This window comes from Homo sapiens, chromosome 5 (genome assembly GCF_000001405.40).
Source record: "Homo sapiens chromosome 5, GRCh38.p14 Primary Assembly".
NCBI lineage: Eukaryota > Metazoa > Chordata > Mammalia > Primates > Hominidae > Homo > Homo sapiens.
Genome location: NC_000005.10, coordinates 171,037,989 through 171,064,201, shown reverse-complemented (window position 1 = coordinate 171,064,201; position 26,213 = coordinate 171,037,989). Strand labels below are relative to the sequence as shown.

At 36.5% G+C, this 26,213-nt stretch overlaps 1 protein-coding gene across 16 annotated transcripts in view, besides 1 other annotated feature; it reads right to left on the bottom strand.

Annotated features, from left to right (window-relative positions):
• The window catches only part of RANBP17 (RAN binding protein 17), a 437,998-nt gene that overhangs the window by 235,814 nt on the left and 175,971 nt on the right, over window positions 1-26,213 (bottom strand). The gene's annotated exons all lie outside the window — the stretch shown is intronic.
• Window positions 18,836-19,953: an enhancer, noted in NCBI's record as "VISTA enhancer hs693". NCBI's record gives its function as "enhancer in: dorsal root ganglion[5/8] | trigeminal V (ganglion, cranial)[5/8]" and the evidence as "EXISTENCE:transgenic organism evidence [ECO:0001131][PMID:17130149]".

Sequence of the window (26,213 nt, the reverse complement as noted above, 5' to 3'; positions counted from 1 at the left end):
ACTAAGGAGTGCCAGACAGTGGGCGCAGGACAGTGGGTGCAGCGCACCGTGTGTGAGCCGAAGCAGGGCGAGGCATTGCCTCACTCCAGAAGTGCAAGGGGTCAGGGAGTTCCCTTTCCTAGTCAAAGAAAGGGGTGACAAACAGCACCTGGAAAATCGGGTCACTCCCACACTAATACTGCGCTTTTCCGATGGGCTTAACAAACAGTGCACCAGGAGATTATATCCCGCACCTGGCTTGGAGGGTCCTACGCCCACGGAGTCTCGCTGACTGCTAGCACAGCAGTCTGAGATCAAACTGCAAGGCAGCAGCGAGGCTGGGGGAGGGGCGCCCGCCATTGCCCAGGCTCGCTAGGTAAACAAAGCAGCCGGGAAGCTCGAACTGGGTGGAGCCCACCACAGCTCAAGGAAGCCTGCCTGCCTCTGTAGGCTCCACCTCTGGGGGCAGGGCACAGACAAACAAAAAGACAGCAGTAACCTCTGCAGACTTAAATGTCCCTGTCTGAGAGCTTTGAAGAGAGCAGTGGTTCTCCCAGCATGCAGTTTGAGATCTGAGAACGGGCAGACTGCCTCCTCAAGTCGGTCCCTGACCCCTGACCCCCGAGCAGCCTAACTGGGAGGCACCCCCTAGTAGGGGCAGACTGACACCTCACACGGCTGGGTACTCCTCTGAGACAAAAATTCCAGAGGAACGATCAGACAGCAGCATTCGCGGTTCACGAAAATCTGCTGTTCTGCAGCCACTGCTGCTGATACCCAGGCAAGCAGGGTCCAGAGTGGACCTCTTGCAAACTCCAACAGACCTGCAGCTGAGGGTCCTGTCTGTTAGAAGGAAAGCTAACAAACAGAAAGGACATCCACACCAAAAACCCATCTGTACATTACCATCATCAAAGACCAAAAGTAGATAAAACCACAAAGATGGGGAAAAAACAGAGCAGAAAAACTGGAAACTCTAAAAAGCAGAGCGCCTCTCCTCCTCCAAAGGAAAGCAGTTCCTCACCAGCAACAGAACAAAGCTGGACAGAGAATGAGTTTGACGAGTTGAGAGAAGAAGGCTTCAGACGATCAAACTACTCCGAGCTATAAGAGGAAATTCAAACCAAAGGCAAAGAAGTTAAAAACTTTGAAAAAAATTTAGATGAATGTATAACTAGAATAACCAATACAGAGAAGTGCTTAAAGGAGCTGATGGAGCTGAAAGCCAAGGCTCGAGAACTACGTGAAGAATGCAGAAGCCTCAGGAGCCGATGCGATCAACTGGAAGAAAGGGTATCAGTGATGGAAGATGAAATGAATGAAATGAAGTGAGAAGGGAAGTTTAGAGAAAAAAGAATAAAAAGAAACGAACAAAGCCTCCAAGAAATATGGGACTATGTGAAAAGACCAAATCTACGTCTGATTGGTGTACCTGAAAGTGACGGGGAGAATGGAAACAAGTTGGAAAACACTCTGCAGGATATTATCCAGGAGAACTTCCCCAATCTAGAAAGGCAGGCCAACATTCAGATTCAGGAAATACAGAGAACGCTACAAAGATACCCCTCGAGAAGAGCAACTCCAAGACACATAATTGTCAGATTCACCAAAGTTGAAATGAAGGAAAAAATTTTAAGGGCAGCCAGAGAGAAAGGTTGGGTTACCCTCAAAGGGAAGCCCATCAGACTAACAGCGGATCTCTCGGCAGAAACTCTACAAGCCAGAAGAGAGTGGGGGCCAATATTCAACCATATTAAAGAAACAAATTTTCAACCCAGAATTTCATATCCAGCCAAACTAAGCTTCATAAGTGAAGGAGAAATAAAATACTTTACAGACAAGCAAATGCTGAGAGATTTTGTCACCACTAGGCCTGCCCTACAAGAGCTCCTGAAGGAAGCACTAAACATGGAAAGGAACAACCGGTACCAGCCGCCGCAAAATTATGCCAAATTGTAAAGACCATCAAGGCTAGGAAGAAACTCCATCAACTAACGAGCAAAATCACCAGCTAACATCATAATGACAGGATCAAATTCACACATAACAATATTAACTTTAAATGTAAATGGACTAAATGCTCCAATTAAAAGACACAGACTGGCAAATTGGATAAAGAGTCAAGACCCATCAGTGTGCTGTATTCAGGAAACCCATCTCACATGCAGAGACACACATAGGCTCAAAATAAAAGGATGGAGGAAGATCTACCAAGCAAATGGAAAACAAAAAAAGGCAGGGGTTGCAATCCTAGTCTCTGATAAAACAGACGTTAAACCAACAAAGATCAAAAGAGACAAAGAAGGCCATTACATAATGGTAAAGGGATCAATTCAAAAAGAAGAGCTATCCTAAATATATATGCACCCAATACAGGAGCACCCAGATTCATAAAGCAAGTCCTGAGTGACCTACAAAGAGACTTAGACTCCCACACATTAATAATGGGAGATTTTAACACCCCACTGTCAACATTAGACAGATCAATGAGAGAGAAAGTTAACAAGGAAACCCAGGATTTGAACTGAGCTCTGCACCAAGCGGACCTAATAGACACCTACAGAACTCTCCACCCCAAATCAACAGAATATACATTTTTTTTCAGCACCACACCACACCTATTCCAAAATTCACCACATAGTTGGAAGTAAAGCTCTCCTCAGCAAATGTAAAAGATCAGAAATTATAACAAACTGTCTCTCAGACCACAGTGCAATCAAACTAGAACTCAGGATTAAGAAACTCACTCAAAACCGCTCAACTACATGGAAACTGAACAACCTGCTCCTGAATGACTACTGGGTACATAACGAAATGAAGGCAGAAATAAAGATGTTCTTTGAAACCAATGAGAACAAAGACACAACATACCAGAATCTCTGGGACACATTCAAAGCAGTGTGTAGAGGGAAATTTATAGTACTAAATGCCCACAAGAGAAAGCAGGAAAGATCCAAAATTGACACCCTAACATCACAATTAAAAGAACTAGAAAAGCAAGAGCAAACACATTCAAAAGCTAGCAGAAGGCAAGAAATAACTAAAATCAGAGCAGAACTGAAGGAAACAGAGACACAAAAAACCCTTCCAAAAATCAATGAATCCAGGAGCTGGTTTTTTGAAAGGATCAACAAAATTGATAGACCGCTAGCAAGACTAATGAAGAAAAAAAGAGAGAAGAATCAAATAGACACAATAAAAAATGATAAAGGGGATATCACCACCGATCCCACAGAAATACAAACTACCATCAGAGAATACTAAACACCTCTACGCAAATAAACTAGAAAATCTAGAAGAAATGGATAAATTCCTCGACACATACACCCTCCCAAGACTAAACCAGGAAGAAGCTGAATCTCTGAATAGACTAATAACAGGCTCTGAAATTGTGGCAATAATCAATAGCTTACCAACCAAAAAGAGTCCAGGACCAGATGGATTCACAGCCGAATTCTACCAGAGGTACAAGGAGGAACTGGTACCATTCCTCCTGAAACTATTCCAATCAATAGAAAAAGAGGGAATCCTCCCTAACTCATTTTATGAGGCCAGCATCATCCTGATACCAAAGCCTGGCAGAGACACAACCAAAAAAGAGAATTTTAGACCAATATCCTTGATGAACATTGATACAAAAATCCTCAATAAAATACTGACAAACCGAATCCAGCACCACATCAAAAAGCTTATCCACCATGATCAAGTGGGCTTCATCCCTGGGATGCAAGGCTGGTTCAATATATGCAAATCAATAAATGTAATCCAGCATATAAACAGAACCAAAGACAAAAACCACATGATTATCTCAATAGATGCAAAAAAGGCCTTTGACAAAATTCAACACCTTCATGCTAAAAACTCTCAATAAATTAGGTATTGATGGGACGTATCTCAAAATAATAAGAGCTATCTATGACAAACCCACAGCCAATATCATACTGAATGGGCAAAAACTGGGAGCATTCCCTTTGAAAACTGGCACAAGACAGGGATGCCCTCTCTCACCACTCCTATTCAACATAGTGTTGGAAGTTCTGGCCAGGGCAATTAGGCAGGAGAAGGAAATAAAGGGTATTCAATTAGGAAAAGAGGAAGTCAAATTGTCCCTGTTTGCAGATGACATGATTGTATATCTAGAAAACCCCATTGTCTCAGCCCAAAATCTCCTTAAGCTGATAAGCAACTTCAGCAAAGTCTCAGGATACAAAATCAATGTACAAAAATCACAAGCATTCTTATACACCAATAACAGACAAACAGAGAGCCAAATCATGAGTGAACTCCCATTCACAATTGCTTCAAAGAGAATAAAATACCTAGGAATCCAACTTACAAGGGACGTGAAGGACCTCTTCAAGGAGAACTACAAACCACTGCTCAATGAAATAAAAGAGGATACAAACAAATGGAAGAACATTCCATGCTCATGGGTAGGAAGAATCAATATCGTGAAAATGGCCATACTGCCCAAGGTAATTTACAGATTCAATGCCATCCCCATCAAGCTACCAATGACTTTCTTCACAGAATTGGAAAAAACTACTTTAAAGTTCATATGGAACCAAAAAAGAGCCCGCATTGCCAAGTCAATCCTAAGCCAAAAGAACAAAGCTGGAGGCATCACGCTACCTGACTTCAAACTACACTACAAGGCTACAGTAACCAAAACAGCATGGTACTGGTACCAAAACAGAGATATAGATCAATGGAACAGAACAGAGCCCTCAGAAATAACGCTGCATATCTACAACTATCTGATCTTTGACAAACCTGAGAAAAACAAGCAATGGGGAAAGGATTTCCTGTTTAATAAATGGTGCTGGGAAAACTGGCTAGCCATATGTAGAAAGCTGAAACTGGATCCCTTCCTTATACCTTAAACAAAAATTAATTCAAGATGGATTCAAGACTTAAATGTTAGACCTAAAACCATAAAAACCCTAGAAGAAAACCTAGGCATTACCATTCAGGACATAGGCATGGGCAAGGACTTCATGTCTAAAACACCAAAAGCAATGGCAACAAAAGCAAAAATTGACAAATGGGATCTAATTAAACTAAAGAGCTTCTGCACAGTGAAAGAAACTACCATCAGAGTGAACAGGCAACCTACAAAATGGGAGAAAATTTTCGCAACCTACTCATCTGACAAAGGGCTAATATCCAGAATCTACAATGAACTCAAACAAATTTACAAGAAAAAAAAAAAACAACTCCATCAAAAAGTGGGTGAAGGACATGAACAGACACTTCTCAAAAGAAGACATTTATGCAGCCAAAAGACACATGAAAAAATGCTCATCATCACTGGCCATCAGAGAAATGCAAATCAAAACCACAATGAGATACCATCTCACACCAGTTAGAATGGCAATCATTAAAAAGTCAGGAAACAACAGGTGCTGGAGAGGATGTGGAGAAATAGGAACACTTTTACACTGTTGGTGGGACTGTGAACTAGTTCAACCATTGTGCAAGTCAGTGTGGCGATTCCTCAGGGATCTAGAACTAGAAATATCATTTGACCCAGCCATCCCATTACTGGGTATATACCCAAAGGACTATAAATCATGCTGCTATAAAGACACATGCACACATATGTTTATTGTGGCACTATTCAAAATAGCAAAGACTTGGAACCAACCCAAATGTCCAACAATGATAGACTGGATTAAGAAAATGTGGCACATATACACTGTGGAATACTATGCAGCCATAAAAAATGATGAGTTCATGTCCTTTGTAGGGACATGGATGAAATTGGAAATCATCATTCTCAGCAAACTATCACAAGGACAAAAAACCAAACACCGCATGTTCTCACTCATGGGCGGGAATTGAACAATGAGAACACATGGACACAGGAAGAGGAACATCACACTCTGGGGACTGTTGTGGGGTGGGGGGAGGGGGGAGGGATAGCATTAGGAGATATACCTAATGCTAAATGATGAGTTAATGGGTGCAGCACACCAGCATGGCATATGTATACATATGTAACTAACCTGCAAATTGTGCACATGTACCCTAAAACTTAAAGTATAATAATAATAAAATAAAAAAATACATTTTATTAGTGAGGTAAGAGAGAAATAGGTAATGCCATATATTTTTGATGGATACAGAAAATGTCATAATCCCTATGAAGGAGAATTTGTCAATATCTAACCAGCTACATATAACCAAATCTCAAGCTAGAAATCCCTGTATGAATTTATCTAAAATATGTATCTCCAACAATATGAAAATATATGATATGGTTTGGCTCTGTGTCCCCACCCAAATCTCACCTCCAATTGTAATCCCCATAATCTCCATGTGTCAAGGCCGAGACCAGGTGTAGGTAATTGGATCATGGGGGCAGTTTCCCCCATGCTGTTCTTGTGATAGTGAGTTCTCAGAAGATCTGATGGTTTTGTAAGCATCTGGCATTACCCCTGCTTGCACTCCCTCCATCATGCTACCCTATGAAGAAGGTGCCTTCTCTTTTCCTTTCTGCTATGACTGTAAGTTTCCTGAGGCCTCCCCAGCAACAGAAAACTGTAAATCAATGAAGCTTTATAAATTATCAAGTCTTGGGTATTTCTTCACAGTTGAGAACAGACTAATAAATACATAATCACAAAGTTATTCGTACAGTATCATTTGTGATTGTAAAGCAATGGAGACTGGGGGGTAAAATACCCTATGATATCCACACAAAATGGAGTACTATGAAGCTATAAGACAGAATGAAGAGGAACTCTATGTATTGAAATGGAATGATTTCCAGGAGATATAATTAAGTGAAAAAAGCAAAATGCAATAAACACATATATAAACATAATTATATAAATATGTATAAAATATGCTAACTTTATTGTACAAAATGAAAACATTTAAAATATATAAAATGGTTTGTCACTATAAAAAGGAACACAGGAACCACAAACCAGAAAACAATCAAGTTGTGGAGGATTTGTGAAAAAATAATCTTGTAAAAGAAATTCTGTGTGTGAACATATTGGCTAAAGTTAAAGTGGTACTCAGTTTTTCCATAAATTGAACATTAGAATAAAAGCACACCAGAATTTTCTTAGAGCATGGATCTGCTCTTTCACAAAAGCTGTAAAAGGCTATAAAAGGTTTATATGAATCTTACCTTAAGGTCATACTGATTGAGACTAGATGGATTTGTCTATAGGGTTTTGTTAAGGTTTGACATCAATAGTGCACTAACGCAAAGGTGAAAGTTAGCTTCCTTTCTTGAACAAGATTTTCATGTTATATTAAAAAATGAAATATTTTTGTTTGCCTTCTGAATAAACTGTAGGAAAAAGGAGGAAAAGAAAAGAGACCGATTGGTTGGAAAGCTGTCTTCCCCTTAATGAGTAAAGGTTTTTGGCTTTAAAAAATTTTTGAGGTATAATTTGGCTAAATCAATGACTTCTGGTGACCTGGGATTTGATTTTACAATATCAAGTGTTTTAAACCTTTAATATATGACAAACTTTCCAAAGTAAAATTATAAATGATGTCTTTTCTAACCTAATTCATCTTTTAGATATTAGGTCCCCTAAAGTCCAAAAGTGACATATAGGGCTTATCTGGTATAAAAATCACAAGAAACACTGTCAAATATAAAATGGTGTTTGGCTTTCCTGGGGATGTATTTGTTTGAATATGTTATTGGTGTTATTGGTATCTGTTCCAAAATTACGGGAAACTCCTGTAATTCTGATATGATTTAGTGCATGTTATCAGTAATAATTATAATTGTTACATAAAATCATTATATGCCACCAAGATAACAAAATTTCTTTGTCAATCATGTTTTTGACTGTGGCTGCCCTAAGACATGTTGTCATTCACAAACGATTGTTATCTTGTTTTGATCCTCTTTAAAAGGTGGTTTATAAGTCAGCTATAGAACTTTGACAGGTGCTCCTGAATGCAGGTTTCTGGTAACTTTGGAGACTGTGGCATTAGAATACAGGAAAAAACTTTCAGGACTCATGGAGAGCTGAAATGTTGGTGATGATAAGTCAGGACAGGAGTTAACTGCATGGACTGAACTAATAGAAAACTGAAGTAATCTTTTTTGGCTTTTTGCTTAAAATGTTACCAATTCTTTGTTTTGGTTTTCAGAGTTAAGAAGATTTTCTTTTGAGCTATTTACAACTTTAAACAATTGAATAAAGTATTTTCCTGTAAACAAAATTTGGAACATATTTGTTTCTCTCTAGCTGATTTCTCCAGAATTTCGAAACTATTTGTGAGTAATCTTAATTTACGGCAACATAGTTTTACTTGCACAAGTGTAATAAGAATGTTTTTTTTTTTGTTTTTTTTTTTTTTTTGGCAACAGGACACAACTGGAGAAACTGGTTGTTTTGCCAAGGCTTTGACTCGAATAGCATGCTTTTCTTAAAGGTATCAAACTTGACTTACAGAGCCAATAAAAGCCCCTTGGGAAAACTGGCCTCATACCTTGTCTATACTGTCCCTATAGAGGGTTCCTGATCTGTGCTAAGTACAGAATGTCACTTTCTAACAGGTCCAGAAGCCCCAAGTTATCTTGGAACCTCAAGATAAGAGGAATTTGCTCAACTCATAGGTATTTGATGGTACAAACCCATGGTTAGGCTCAGCTTTATGAAAAAAAGTCTTGTTTGAGATTCCTTTTTGGAACAAAGTTCCATCAAAGCCAATTTAAAAAGCATATGTGAAAATTAATTATTCTTGCTGAACTTTATACAAATAATCAGGCCAAGTATAAGAATACATCTTATTTTGAGAACAAATCATTCGTACCATGATTTGTCTTTAATAAAAATGGGAGACTGGAGAGAGAAAAATTATGTTTCAAGAAATATGGTACACCTGTTAGTACATGCTAGTTTCATCAGTTGTTTCTGATGTTTTTTTCCTGCAATTCAGACTAACCCTGTCTATTCCTGTAAACCAACCAGTGATTTCTAGCTGCTGCTCACAAGAAACAAGAGGGATGAGTAATGTAAAAATCTGGATCAGTATTCTAATTCTGGACAAACAGGAATCAGCTAGCAACCCCATATCAGTTTGGTTCCGACAGTGGCCCAGTTCATGGAAAGCTCTCTTTACTTGGGATAATTTTGCTTATTTTTCTTTACTGTTGTGGAATACACTGATATTGTACTCTTTGTGTAGATATGCAGGATAAACTCACTCAATGTTTTCTTAAGTTGAACACTTATTAGTCTTCCAGATACCACCTTCTGTCGGATCTCAAGAGTTATGAATGGCCCTCAGCATATGGATGCTTTCTAAATGTGCGCCTCTCCACCCTGAATACAAGAGACCCTAATAGTTAGACATGTATATCATCACCTGTTTTCAGCCTGAAGAAGTTATAGAAGATGCATCATTGTCCCTCTACAACCCTTAAGATTAAGGATTCCCTTGTAAAAGGGAGGGGGGAAACACGTCACAGGTGTCTGAACCAGAGCAATTCCATCTTGAATAGGGGCTGGGTAAAATAAGGTTGAGGCCTACTGGGCTGCATTCCCAGGAGGCTAGGCATTCTAAGTCACAGGATGAGACAGAAGGTCGGCAAAAGGTACAGGTCACAAAGTCCTTGCTGACAAAAGGATGTGGTAAAGAAGCTGGCCAAAATGCACCAAAACCAAGATGGTGATAAAAGTGACCCCTGCTTATCCTCACTGCTCTTTATATGCTAATTATAATGCACTAGCATGCTAAAAAACACTCCCACTAGTGCCATGACAATTTACAAATGCCATGGCAATGTTAGCAAGATACCCTATATGGTCTAAAATGGGGGAGGAACCCTCAGTTCCAAGAACTGCCCACCCCTTTTCCAGAAAACTAATGAATAATCAATCCCTTGTTTAGCATATAATAAAGAAATAACTATAAGTGTAATCGCAGTGAGCAGCCCAAGACACTGGCTCTGCCAATGGAGTAGTCATTCTTTATTCCTTTACTTTCTTAATAAACTTGCTTTCACTTTAAAAATGAACAAGTGAACAAAAAACCCCCGAAAACAAAACCAAACCACACCAGTCAACTATATGCTGCTTACAGGAGACTCACTTTAGATCCAAAGACACAAACAAATTGAAAGTGAAAGGATAAAAAAGGATATTCTATGCAAACAGTAACTAAAAGATAGCTAGAATGGCTATTCAAATATCAGAATACATAGATTTTAAGTAGAGAATTATCATGAGACAAAGAAAGACATATTGATAAAATAGTCATTTCAGTAAGAATATATAACAATGATAAGCATATATGCATCAAATACAGCAATTATATATATATATATATATATATATATATATATATATATATATATATGAACTAAACACTGACAGGATTTGAAGGAAAAAAAGCTAACATCACATTCAATGGTGAAAGACTGAAAGCTTTCCCCCAAGATGAGTAACAAGAGGATGACCACTTTCACCACTGCTATTCAACATTGTACTGGAAGTCCTGGCTAGAGCAATTAGGCCAAATAAATAAATGGCTTACAAATTGCAGAGTGGGGAAAAAAAACAAAACTACCTCTTTACAGATGACATAATTCTATATATAGAAAATCTACAAAAGTCTACAAAAAATCTACTACAGCTAATAAATGAATTCAGCAAAGTTGCAGGGAACATGATCAACAAACAAAAATTCTGTTAAGTTCCTATATACTAGCAATCAACAATCCAAAAGGAAAATTTTAAAAATTCCATTTATAATAGCATTCAAAAGGATACAATATCTAGGAATGAATTTAACAAGGGAGGTGAAAGATTTGTACAATGAAAATTCTACATGGGCAGAAAAATGAAAACAAGACACACTGGGGACTATTAGAAGGGAAGTAAGGGAGCAAGAGTTGAAAAGCTATCTCTTAGATTTTATGTTCAGTACCTGAGTGATGGGATCATTCGTACACTGAACCTCAGCAACACACAATTTACCCATGTAACGAATCTGCACATGTACTACCTGAACCTAAAATAAAAGTTGAGAAAAAAGAGAACTTGCCTAATTAAAAAAAAAAAATTCTAAGGCATTGTTGAAAGAAATTAAAGAAGGCTTAACTAAATAGAAAGACATGGCCGGGCACGGTGGCTCACGCCTGTAATCCCAGGACTTTGGGATGCTGAGGCAGGTGGATCACCTGAGGTTAAGATTTTGAGACCAGCCTGGCCAACAGGATGAAACCCCATCTCTAATAAAAATATGAAAGTAGCTACTTGGGAGGCTGAGGCAGGATAATCGCTTGAACCCAGGAGGCAGAGGTTGCTGTGAGCTGAGATCGTGCCATTGTACCCCAGCCTGGGCAACAACAGTGAAACTCCATCTCAAAAAAAGAAAGACATTTCATGTTCATGGGTTAGAAGACTTAATATTATTAAGATGGCAATACTTATGAAAATAATCTACAGATTAAACACAATACCTATCAAAATTCAATGGCATTTTTGTAGAAACAGAAAATCTGATGTTCAAATTCATTTGCAATTGGAAAGAGTCCTGAATAGCCAAAACAATACTGAAAAACAAAGTTGGAGATCTCATACTTCCTGATTTTACAACTTACTGCAAAGCTACAGTAACCAAAACCGTGTGATAATAGCGTAAGAACAGACATACAGAACAAAGGAACAAAATTGAGAATCCAGAAGTAAACCCTATAATCTATGGATAAATGATTTTTTGACTATGGTGCTAAGATACTTTTATGGGGAAAGAATAGTATCTTCAACAAATGGTGCTGGGACAACTGGATGACCACATGCAAAGGAATGAAGTTGGATCCTATAATCTCACACCCTATACAAAATACAAGAGCTAAAAGTATAAAATATTAGAAAAAAACATAGGGATGAATCTTCATGACCTTGTAACTGTTATTAAATTCTTAGATTTGACTCAAAAACCACAAGCAACCAAAGAATAGATAAATTAGACATCCTCAAAATTAAAGAATCTTGAGCTTCAAAGAATATCGTCAAAAAAGTGAAAAGATAACCTACAAAAAGGGAGAACATATTTGCAAATCATGTATTTGATAAGGGATTTCATATCCAGAATGTATAAACAACACTAACAATTCAACAAGAAAAAGTCAAACGACCCAATTTAAAAATAAGCAAAGGATTTAAAAATCCAGATCCTCCTTCAAAGAATATATACAAATAGCCAACAAACAAATGATGCTAAACCTCAGCTGACGTTAGGAAAATGCAAATCAAAACCACAATAAGCTATAATCTCACACCTACCAAGATGGCTACAATAACATAAAACAACAACAAGAAAGCGACCCTAAAAATAACAAATGTTAACAAGGATGTGGAGAAAGATAAACTCTTTTACATTGCTGGTGGGAATGTAAAATGGTGTGGCCATCATGGAAAATAGTTTGACAGCAATTCAGTTAAAGAATTACCATATGATTTAGCAACTCTACTTTTATGTATATACCCAAGAGAAATGAAAATATATGTCCACATGGTAACTTGTAAAAAAATGTTTACAGCAACATTACTTGTAAGAGCCAAAAGGTGAAATCATCTCAAATCCAAACCAGCTGATGAAAAGATGATCAAAATGTGTAATAGCCATAAAGTGAAATATTAAATAGTATTCAGCCATAAAAAGAAGTTAAGTGAATGTTACAATTTGGATGAACCTTGAAAACATAATGCTAGGTAAAAACAGCAAGACAGAAAAGCTCAAATATTGTATGATTTATTTAATATAAAATATACAGAATTGGCAAATCTATACAGACAGAAAGTAGATTAGTATTATCTTCAAGGGGCAGGGGAAATAAAGAATAGAGAGTGATTACTTAATAGGTACAAAGTATTTCTCTGGAGTGGTGAAAAGTTTTAAAACTAGAGAGAGGTGGCGAATGCACTAAAGGTCACTGAATGTGTATATTCAAAAACACTCAATATAGCATGTGAATTTCACAACAATAAATAAAGAAAAAAGGAATAATAAATTCTCAAGTTCAGCAAAATACATAAACTTACAGTCTCATGAAAGATAAACACAAAGAAATCCAAACCCAGACAATTTTGACATATTGCTGAAAACTAAGGCCAAGAAAAAAGAAATCCTGAAAGCAGCCCAAGAAAAACAGCACATAACATAGAGGGGAATAACAATCCAAATGAACATGGAATTTTTATCAGAAACCACCCAGTCAGATATAAGTAGAACATTTTTAAAATGCTGAAAGGGAAAGAACCATCAAATCAAAATTCTATTACAGAATTACATTCTCTAATTCTAATTCTATTAGAGAATACATCCTTCATGAATAAAGATGAAATAATGACATTCTCAGATAAAAGAAAACTAAGAAAATTCATTGTCTGTGGATCTGCTCTATAAGAAGTAAGGGAATTTCTTCAGACAAAAGGGAAAGTATGTGAGGGGAAAACTTGGACTATCTGGAGTGAAAGAAAACAGAAAGGGTAGATATTTAAATAAATGTAACAATATTACTTTCTTCTTACATTTTTTTTTTAAGATAGGGTCTCACTCTGTCACTCAGGCTGAAGTGCAGTGGCACGATCTCACTCCTGCAATCAAGCCATCCTTCTGCCTCAGCCTCCTGAAGAGCTGGGACCACAGGCACACGTCACAATGCCTAGCTAATTTTTGAATTTTTTGTAGAGACGGGGCTTTGCTGGTCTTGAACTCCTGAGCTCAAGCCATCTGCCCGCACTGGTCTCCAAAGTGCTGGGATTAAAGATGTGAGCCACATAACATATGTATTACAGTTAAAAGCAAAAGTTACAACATTATCTGGTAGGTTTTCAATGTATGTAATATGTTATATACAAAGAGTGAAGAATAAGGGGACTTACATTCTACTTTAAATGGTAAAATATTAATTCTAAGTAGATTGTGAAAAGTTGAATATGTATAATTTCTAGAACAATCATGAAAAATCCATTTGAAGATACTAATAGTAGTTTATAGTTTATAGTAATAAACTCAATAGATAAAATGGAAAACTAAAATGTTAAGTAATCTAAAGGTAGCAAGAAGGAAAAATCAGAGAGGGAACTGCTCAGAGAAATCAGAGTGACACAAAGGAAAAACATTCCATGTTCACGGATAGGAAGAATTAATATTGTTAAAATGGCCATACTGCCCAAAGCAACTTACAGATTCAATGCTATTCCTATCAACTACCAATGTGATTCTTCACAGAATTAGAAAAAACTATTCTAAAACTCACATGGAACAAAAATGAGCCCAAATACCCAAAGCAATCCTAAGCAAAAGAAACAAAGCTGGAGGCATCACATTACCAGACTTCAAACTATAATACAAGGCTACAGTAACTGAAACAGCATGGTACTGGTACAAAAACAGACACATACACCAATGGAACAAAAAAGAGTGTGCAGAAATAATTCTGCATGCCTACAGCCATGTGCTCTTTGACAAAGTGAACAAAAACAAGCAATGAGGAAAAAACTTCATATTCAATAAATGGTGTTGGGATCACTAGCTAGTCACATGCAGAGGATTGAAACTGGACCCCTAGCCTTCACCATATACAAAAATCAATTCAAGATTGATTAAAGCTTAAATGTAAAACCTAAAATTATAAAAACCCTGGAAACTAACCTAGAAAATGCCATTCTGTACATAGGCCTTGGCAAAGATTTCATGACAAAGATATCAAAAGCAAATGCAACAAAATCAAAAATTGTCAAATGAGACCTAATTAAACTAAAGAGCTTCTGCACAGCAAAAATAAACCATCAACAGAGTAAACAGACAACCTACAGAATGGGAGAACACATATGCAAACTATGCATCCAACAAAGGTCTAATATCCAGCATCTATAAGGAACTTAAACAAATTTACAAGAACCTCACTGAAAAGTGGGCAAATGACATGAACTGACACTTTTCAAAAGAAGACATACATGCAGCCAACAAGCATATAAAAAATATTCAGCATCACTAATCATTAGAGAAATGCAAATCAAAATTACAATGGGATACCTCCTCACACCAGTCAGAGTAACTATTATTAAAAAGTCAAAAAATAATACATGCTGGTGAAGTTGCAGAGAAAAGGGAATGCTTATAAACTGCTCTTGGGAATGTAAATTAGTTCAGCCATTGTGGAAAGCAGTGTGGCGATTTCTCGAAGAACTTAAAATAGAATTACCATTCCACCCAGCAATCCCATTATTGGATACACACCCAAAGGAATATAAAGTGTTCTACCATAAAGACACATGCACAAGTATGTTCACTGCAGCAATATTCACAGTAACAAAGACAAGCATATCAACCTAAATGCCCACCAATGGTAGACTGGATAAAAAAATGTGGCACATACACACTGTGCACTACTATGCAGCCATTAAAAAAATGAGATTATGCCCTCTGCAGCAACATGAATGGATCTTGAGGCCATTATCCTAAGCAAACTAACACAGGAACAGAAAATCAAATGCCACATGTTCTCACTTATAAGTGGAAGCTAAACATTGAGTACACAGGGACAGAGAGAAGAGAACAACAGACAGCACAGTCTACTGGAGGGTAGGGGATGGGAGAAAGGAGAGGACTGAAAGACTACCTATCGAGTACTATGGTTATTACCTGGGTGACAAAATAATCTGTACACCAAACCCATGTGACACACAATTTACCTATGTAACAAACCTGCACATGTACCCCTGAACCTAAAAGTTAAAAAAAAAAGAAAAGGGTAGATCTACATCCAAGCATCAGTAATAATTAACTGCAAATGATATAAACACAGCAGTTGAAAGACAGATTGTGTGAACAGATTAAAAACAAGACCTAAAGATATGCTTTTGGGCTAGGCATCCTGGGTCACACCTATAATTCCAGCACTTTGAAAGACTGAGATAGGAGGATCACTTGAGTCCAGGAGTTTGAGACCAGCCAGGGCAACAGAGAAAGAAGATGTCTCTACAAAAAATAAAAAAGTTAGTTGGGTGTGTAGTGCACCTGTGGTCCCAGCTACGTGGGAAGCTGAGGTGAGAAGATCACTTGAACCCAAGAGATCAAGGCTGCAGTGAACCATGATTGTGTCATCGCACTCCAGGATGAGACTCTATCTCAATTAAAAAACAAAAAAATCTATCAGAAACTCACATTAAATGTAAAGATGCAAGTCAGTTAAAGCAAAAGGAAAAAAGATAGCCCAAAAGACTTGTATAAAATTCTATCACTTTTAGGAGAAAATATTTGTGAACCAGAATTAGTCAAAGATTTCTCAGATATGATATCAAAAGCGTGATCCATAAAAATGTAATAATTAGACTCTGCCAAAATAAAAACTTTTGCTATTTAATGGATACTTCAGAATGAAAAAAACAAGCTACATACTTAGAGGAAAAAAATGTGCAAATCACATATCCAACAAAGAACTTGTAGTCAAAATCTATATATAAAGTATTCTCAAAACTCAATAGCAAGAAAACAAATGAGCTAACTTAAAAAATGGGTAAGACTTGGGAGGCTGAGGCAGGCGGATCATGAGGTCAGGAGTTGAAGACCAGCCTGCCCAACATGGTGAAACCCTGTCTCTACTAAAAATACAAAAATTAGCTGATGTGGTGGCATGCGCCTGTAATCCCAGCTACTCAGGAGGCTGAGGCAGAACAATCTCTTGAACCCGGGAGGTGGAGGGAGGTTGCAGTGAGCTGAGATCGCACCACTGCACTCCAGCCTGGGCGACAGAGTGAGACTCCATCTCAAAAAAAAAAAACAAAACAAAAAAAAAAGGGTTAAGACTTGAAAAGATACTTTTCCAAAGAGGATATATGGAGGCAATTAAGTTTGTGGAAAAAAAAACCGTTCAACATCATTACCCATTAAGAAAATGCAAAATAAGGCCAAGTGCAGTGGCTCACACCTGTAATCCCAACACTTTGGGGTGCCGAGGTGGGTGGATCACATGAGGTCAGGAGTTCAAGACCAGTCTGGCCAACATGGTGAAACCCCATCTTTACTAAAAATACAAATAATTAGCTGGGTGTGGTGGTGGGCACCTGTAATTCCAGCTACTCGGGAAGTGAAGCAGGAGAATCACCTGAACCCTGGAGGCAGAGGATGCAGTGAGTTGAGACTGTGCCATTGCACTCCAGCCTGGGCAACAAGAGCAAAACTCCATCTCAAAAAAAAAAAAAAAAAAAAGGCAAAATAAAACTACAATGAGATGCCCTACAATCCCATTAAAATGGCAAAAATAAAATGACAAACTTGAGATTTATAAAAATTAAGATTGTGCTGAAACTGCTCAAATTGGACAGAAATAATATATTCAGAATACTGAGTTTAAATGTCCTAATATTTAATGAAATATAAATTAGAGTAAGACAGTTTCTATCTACTAGACTTGCAAAGATTACAAATGACATTGATGGCAAGATAATGGAGTGAGGTTCAAACTGCTTCAATCTTCTTGGAAGGCAAATTGCAATCCATCCAACCATATAATTTTGTGTATTTTTTTTTCATCCAGCAACTGCTTTTCTAGAAATTGAAGGCAGCTATTCTTACATATCATATGCTGTATAAGCATGTTTACTGTAGCACTGAAGATAATTTAAAAAAATATATCTAAGTATCTATGTTGGAGACAGCTTAAACCAAGTATGGTACATTCATAAAATTACAATGCAGCCATTAAAAAGGCAGAACTGGCCGGGCACGGTGGCTCATCCTGTAATCCCAGCACTTTGGGAGGCTGAGGCAGGCAGATCACGAGGTCAAGACATCAAGACCATCCTGCCCAACATGGTGAAACCGTGTCTCTACTAAAAACACAAAAAATTAGCTGGACGTGGTGGAGCGTGCCTGTAGTCCCAGCTACTCGGGAGGCTGAGGCAGGAGAATCGCTTGAACCCAGGAGGCAGAGGTTGCAGTCAGCCGAGATCATGCCACTGCACTCATTCCAGCCTGGTGACAGAGTGAGACTCCAGCTCAAAAAAAAAAAAAAAAAAGGCAGAACTATAGGCATGAATAGGGTAAAAAATCAAGTTCCAGTTCTTTTAGGGATCCTATGATGGAGAAAATAAGTTTCCATATGGGGCAGATAATTTATATTTACTTCAAAAACTGATATTAGTGTTGCTATAATTTGGGAAGAAGGAGACAGAAAACAAACTGTATTGTAAAAACATGGAGGATTCTCAAAGGAATTGTGCTGAGTGAAAGAAACCAGTTTTAAAAGGTCAAGTTTTATAGGATTCCATTTACATAACATTCTGGAATAAGGCAAAACAGTAGTGAATGGGAACAGATCAGTGGATCCCAAGTGTTAGGGACAGAGGGAAGATGTGACACCATGAGGGAGGCTTTATTTATTTATTTGTTTGTTTATTTATTTATCTCAGGGGACAGAACTACTCTGTATCCTGACTGTGATAGTGGTTACATGAATATATACTTGGGTTAAAACAGAACTGTACACCAGAAAAGATGGAAATGTGAATTTTACTGTATATTAATTTTTAAAAGAAGAATGATTTACATTGCATACTGTTTTAGAGGCTATTTTGCTTTTCCCCTAGAAAGCCTAAACTTGGAATCTGTATTTTTTATTACTAAAGCCTTTGTTCTCATTTATTTCTGATTTAAAGACAATTAGTCTGTTAAGTAAAAGTGATTAAGAAGCATATTGTTTTTGACATCCACAATACATTATTACTATAAATCTTTCTTTTTGAGAATGAGGATCGAGTTTTTCACTCTCTAGATAGGGCATGAAGAAAACTCATCTTTCCAGCTTTAAAATAACAATCAAATCTCTTATGCTATATCATATTTTAAGTTAAACTAATGAGTCACTGGCTTATCTTCTCCTGAAGGAAATCTGTTCATTCTTCTCATTCATATAGTTATATCAAGTACTACCTTGCATATTGAGAGGTTTTTCTTCTCTATTTACACATATATTTCCATGTGAATTTGTATCAAACCTTTATTTTCATGCAAACTAGAAATAATGTTTTCTTTTGCATAAGAGAAGAGAACAATATAAGCATTACAAAACTGCTCAAATTGTTTGTTAAGTTATACATTATAATTAGTTTGGCAGAGCTAATACAAATCACATTTACAGACAAACAATAATAAAACTGAAGTACCAGTTAAATATCCAAAATAATTAAAGGAATCATTTTTAGCCTGGTATAATTAGCTAATTCACTTTACAAGCATTTATTAAAATGAATTCACATGTTATTATTCCATAGGTAGTTACACAATAGTGTTTATACAGGAAAAAATAATGAACCAAACTCTTTGTATCCAGCACTCCACAATTAAAACAAAGACTCCCCAAGTAATATCAATCTAGGATAGACTAATTAAGTTTGGTTTGATAACCATTCATTTCTTCTATTGCCTCTGAGCAAATTGTTTATTAGAGAAAGTTATTTTACACAAATCAAATCAAACTGGGTAAACCATTATATTTGAGGGAAACTTTAGCCATCAGTCAATTAATCCATCATTTTCTCCAGACACTATTGTTTAACGAGCAGATCATATTATCAACAATTTAGATATCATGTGATTCAATTATAACAGTAAATTTATTGACAGTTTCTCTAATATTTTTATTATGAGTAAATTTGGAATTCTCTTTACCTTTGTGAGCAAAGCAAAACCAATTTGAATATTATAGTCAAAGATCAAATAAATTAAAATTCTCTACAAAATTTAAGATGGTTTGAAAAAATGTTATTATTACAAAAGCAAAAATAAGGCTTAATGAATTAAAATTGCTAATAAGGTAAAATAAGTTTCCAACATAAAAAATTCTTCCTTATTCTTTAATATGCTGAAATATATATGACTTTAATGTTATATTAAAATTCATTTTAAGAAAAGCCTTGTGAAAAAAAATTAATTTGTACTCATAAACAATACAATCTGTTAAAGCTGAAAAATTCAGATTTCTAGTTCTTTAAGAATACAGATTTCACCGGGGGCATTAAAATTAAAATGTAATATATATTAATACTCATAGGCACCAGGGGAAAGAAAGCAACTAATACCTTTCTACACGTTTAGGAGATCATATTTAAGATCATAATAGTGCAACAGGATTGATTTCTAGTTCTTAGTAGGAAATACATGTGTGTGTAATTTGCCAGTTCACCAAATTAGATGAAATGTCAAACAGGCACTTTTATTTTAAATGTAAGGATTTTAAAATAGATCCTTTCTATTTGCCTCTGTATAAGTTTAGATCTTATAGTGCAAAACAATTTATTAATACTTTGATAGATTGTCTCTAATAGTTTCATGTTGGCTAGTTTTATCTCACCAATCTGAGTTTAAATCTCTTAGAGTTCCAAACCATGGCTTAAGACTTTTTCTTTATCTCATAGCAGAAAAGTTCTAGACTCTTCATTGAAGGTCAATAAATATTATCAGAACCATAGAATGGCAGGTGCCAGGAGCTTCTGCTTACCCTAGTCCAACTCCCTCTAGTTACATACATATAAAGAAATTGAGAATTGGAAGTGTCTGACCCCACATCACACATCTAATTATCAGTGTCAATTAGACAAACATGTTCACTAATAATAACTTTTATATGCAATAAATATATTCCTGTTTACTGTTGGCTAGCCTATGTGATCTAACAATGACACTGAGGCAGTGTCATCTAACACCCAAATGAATGGCATATGGCCTATGAATTACAAATTCCTACATATGTCCACAGTTCTCAAAATGCACTCCTTAGAGGCTTAGGATGCCAGAGAGACACCCCAAGGGCACCACAGAGAGAGTAAGAACTGAACCATTGGAACATCTGGCTTCTTGCAACCCCACATCCTCATTTCAGTCTGAGCCATTTGCTTCTATGTAAAATTTCATTTGAAGAAACAGTTCCACTGATTGTAAACCAGTTTGAAACCACTATTTTATCCTATGTATGTTCCTGGAATCTTCGGAATAAAATATTTTAAATAAAAATAAAAAGATCCTAGGTTTTCTTAAAGAAGAATACTTCATTTTACATATTTGTCTCAAAAAGAATTACTGATTACAAAAGTAATTCAAGGAATATCTGCATGAAAATACTGTAGTCAGTCACTTGATACAGGTCAATATTTGCACAGTATAAACTGTTTAAGTACAGGAAAGTAGTCATCAATCAATACACACCATCAGCTATATCTCTTTTTTCTGAAGTTATCCCATATTCATCCACTTTTGTGCCCACTAAGTACAATCTTATTTATTTTTAATCAAATTACTTTATATTTTAGAAGATACTGCAGAAAATACTTTATGAAATGATTTATCCAAGTGTCTGTAATATATACTCCCTCTGTACAAAGCACAAATTTAAGAGTAGGAGCCTATCCGTAAACCTGATTGTCCTGACAAAAAGATGATGACCCCCCCTAGAGTGGGTTATTACAATCATTAAATGGGTCTTAGAAAACATTTGGCACACTATAGTTTTACATGTTTTTGATTTATAGTTATAATTAAGAAAAGCAATGCAAAAAGGACACTAGTTAGAACCTTTTAATCCAAAGATGATTCAAATGTGAGTGCTACTGTAATATAAATCTATTCTTGATGTTCCCAATCATCCTCAAAATATAAGTAAAAGGAAAATTTCCTCTTTGATGCAAACAACACACCAGCATTAATTAATCATCTCTTTCACCACATATATTTCCCTAACACTGAAAACAAGCATATTTAAATGTAGCCATGACGTACAAAAGCCATGCACTATATAATGACATGTTGGTCAACAATTGGCTGCATCTAAGATGGTGATCCCTTAGGATTACATGGAGTTGAAAAATTCCTATCATATGGTTAGGATAGGACCTAATTATATTGTTAGTTCCTATATAGTTAACTATATATAACTATATAGTTAGGTCCTATCCTAACTACATGATAGGAATTTTTATAGTTAGTTGTGTCTTGCTGATCCTGACCCTGTATAGGCCTAGGATCTATGAAAAATATAAGTGTATTTTTCAATAGCAAAGACATGGAATCAACCCTAATGCCCATCAATGATAGACTGGATAAAGAAAATGTGGTACATATATATCATAGAATACTATGTAGCCATGAAAAAGAATGAGATCATGTCCTTTGCAGGGACATGGATAGAGCTGGAAGCCATTATCCTCAGCAAACTAACACAGGTACAGAAGACTAAACACCACATATTCTCACTTATAAGTGGGAGCAGAATAATGAGAACACATGGACACAGGGAGGAGAACGATGCATACCAGGGCCTGTCGGGGGTGCAGTGGGAGGGAGAGCATCAGGATAAATAGCTAATGCATGTGGGACTTAATACCTAGGTGATGGGTTGATAGGTGCAGCAAACCACCATCGCACACATTTACCTCTGTAACAAACCTGTACATCTTGCACATGTATCCCAGAACTTAAAATAATATTAAATTTAAAAAAAAGTGTATTTTTTACTGTGCCTTTTCTATGATTAGATACATAAGTACTTACCATTGTGTTACAATTGTTTACAGTATTCAGTATAGTAACATGCTGTACAGGTTTGTAGCCTAGGAGCAATAGGCTATACCACGCAGCCTAGGTGTGTAGTAGGCTATACCATCCAGGTTTGTGTAAGAACAGTTCCTGACGTTTCCACAACAACAAAATTGCCTAAAAGGACATTTCTTAGAACATACTCTTGTTGTTAAGTGATGTGTGACTGTACTTCAAGAAATAATTTCAACTAGGATATTACAGGACTTCCTTCAAAATACATAAATTATGTATATTTTGTATTTATCACAAGTTGGTGGTGGTAGCTTGGTTTCTTTGTTTTGGGAGATTGTTATTTTGTGCCCTGAGATGATCAAAAACAATGAGGAATCACAATATAAATGAAGAAAATGAGTGCTATCAATTACTGCTTAATAGTAATAATAAATAAATAACAAATAATTAATAACATGACCCCCAATTTTTACAGTAGCTTTCCCACCCTCTCTCTTGCATCACTCACTTTGGGGAAATTAGCTGCCATATCATGGGGACAATCAAGCAGCCCTATGGAGGGCTTCATGTGGCAAGGAGGTGAGGCCTCCTGTCAACAACAGGCTAGAACTGATGAGGCCTTCTGTTAACAGTTACGTGAGCAAGCCATTCTGCAAGCTGACCTTCCAACCCCAGTCAAGTTTTCAGAATTTTCAGCCCTGGATCAACATTTCGACTGAAACCTCATAAAAGACCTTAAGTGAGAATTACTCAGCTAAGCCATTCCGAAATTCCTGTGCCTCAGGAAGTCTGTGAAATAGAATATGATTTTTCCTAAAACTTCTAAGTTTAGGGGTAATTTGTTCTGCGGCAATAGATAACTAATGCAGAATGCAGCGAGGAAGAATTCCTTCTTCACTAGTTTCCTCTTCTCTGTTTCAAAAGTTAACTTTTTACATTTTTAACTTATTCCCTCTCTTTGAACCTCAAGCTTCTCCTAAGGTCTTCTTTTCTACCTCAGTTTTACCATGTTTGGGACCTCTGCTCCATCTTCTCCCTGGGAAGAAGGCAACTGGTTCTCAAAACTTTTTTTCAATTCAAGGACCCCTTCTACAGGATTAAAATCCCCAAAACTTCATATCTCACCTATTTCCACTTGTCAGCAACCTAAATAAATAAACGAACAAGACTTCACAAACTTTAGCAGACTCATATACTACATTGGAAGAGCCAGTAAATTAAATAATATGTTTTTACTGAGTGCTAGAAATAAATGGAAAACCTATTTATGCCAGCAGTAAAAACAAAGACATTTTGCAACTAAAAGCTCTAAAATTATTTAAGAAAGTCCCTGGCTCTGACTCTGAGACTTTCTGTCATATCTTATCAAGAACAAAAATCAAAAGCTTTTTCCCCATCTATTGAAATGATTATATGGTTTTTCATTCTGTTTAAGTGGTGAATCACATTTATTGATTTGCATTATGTTGAAACAACCTTGCATCCCAGGAATGAAGTCTACTTGATTATGGTGAACTAACGTTTTGATATGATGCTAGATGTGGATTGCTAGTATTTTTGGGGGGATTTTTTTTGTCCACGTTCATCAGAGATACTGGCCTGTAGTTTTTTTTGTCGTGTCCTTGCCAGATTTTGGTACCAGGCTGATGCTGGCTTCACGGAATGAGTTAGGGAGGAGCACTTCCTCCTCGATTTTTTGGAATAGTTTCGGTAGAGTTTGTACCAGCTCTTCTATGTACATGTGGTAGAATTTGGCTGTGAATCCATCTGATCTGCGGCTTTTATTGGTTGGTAGGTTTTTATTACTGATTCAATTTCAAATGTCAATATTGGTCTGTTCGGGGCTTCAATTTCTTCCTGATTCAAACTTGGAAGGTTTTGTTTCCAGGAATTAGTCCATTTCCTCTAGATTTTCTAAGTTTGTGTGAACAGGGGTGTTCATAATAGTCTCTGAGAATCCTTTGTATTTTTCCGGGATCAGATGTAATGTCACCTTTGTCATTTCTGATTGTACTTATTTGGATCTTCTCTCTTTTTTCTTTCTTAGTCTAGCTAGCAGTCTATCAAATCAACAAAACAAATATTGACAAATGGGAACTAATTAAAGAGTTTCTACACAGCAAAAGTAACCATCAACAAACAGACAATCTATAAACCGGGAGGAAATATTTGTAAACTATGCATCCAACAAAGGTCTAATATCCAGAATCTATTAGGAACTTAATTCAATAAGCAAAAAAACAAAAACAAATACATCTCATTAAAAAAAATAGACAAAAGACATGAACAGACACTTTTCAGAAGAAGACATACAGGTGGCAACAAGGATATGAAAAAAATGTTCAACATCACTAATCATCAGAGAGAAGCAAATCAAAACCATGTCACACCAGTCAGAATAGTTATTATTAAAAAGCAAAAAAAAAAAAAAAAAACCAACAACAGAAGCTAGCAAGGCTATAGAGAAAAAGGAACTCTTACACACTGTTGGTAGGAAGATAAATTAGTTCAGGCACTGTCTCCACAGTCTGGAGATTTCTCAAGGAACTTAAATCAGAACTACCATTGGACCTAGCAATCCCATTACTGGGTATATAACCAAAAGAAAAGAAATCATTTTACTAAAAAGACACATACACTTGCATGTTCATCACAGCACTATTCACAAAAGCAAAGACATAGAATTAATCTAGGTGCCCATAAATGGTGGAATGGATAAAGAAAATGTGGTACATCCTGGCAAAGACACAATGAAAAAAGAAAACTACAAGTCAATACCCATGATGAACATAGACACAAAAATCCTCGACAATATACAAGCAAACTGAATCCAGCAGCACATCAACAATTAATTCACCAGGAACAAGTAAGCTTCATTCCTGGGAAGCAAAGTTGGTTCAACATATGCAAATCAATAAATATGATTCACCATGTAAACAAATCATCTCAATAGATGTGGAAAAAACTTTCAATAAAACCATCTCAATAGATGTGGAAAAAACTTTCAATAAAATCCAACTTACCATTATGATAAAAACCCTCAATAAACTAGGCATCAAAGGATCATACCTCAAAATAATAAAAGCCATCTATGACAAACCCATACCCGACATGATACAGAATGGGCAAAAGCTGGAAGCATTCCCCTTGAGAACTGGAACAAGACAAGGATGCCCACTTTCACCACCCTATTCAACATAGTACTGGAAGCCCTCGCCACAGCATTCAGGCAAGAGAATGAAATAAAAGGCATGCAAATAGGAAAAGAAGTCAAACTATCTCTCTTGGCCAACAATATGATTGTATACCTGAAAAAAACCCTTAAGTCTGTCAAAAGGCTCCTAGAACTGATAAACAACTTCAGTAAAGTTTCAGGATACAAAAATTAATGTACAAAAAGTTACTAGCATTTCTATATACCAATAATATTGAAGCTGAGAGACAAATCAAGAATAAAATCACATTTATAATTGCTGTGCACGTGCACACACACACACACACACACACACACACACACAATACCTAAGAATACATCTAAACAAAAAGGTAAAGATTTCTACAAGGAGAATTCCAAAACACTGTTGAAAGAAATCAGATGACACAAACAAATGGAGAAACATTGCATGCTCATGGATTGGAGGAATCAATATTGTTAAAATGGCCACACTGTCCAAAGCAATCTATAGATTCAA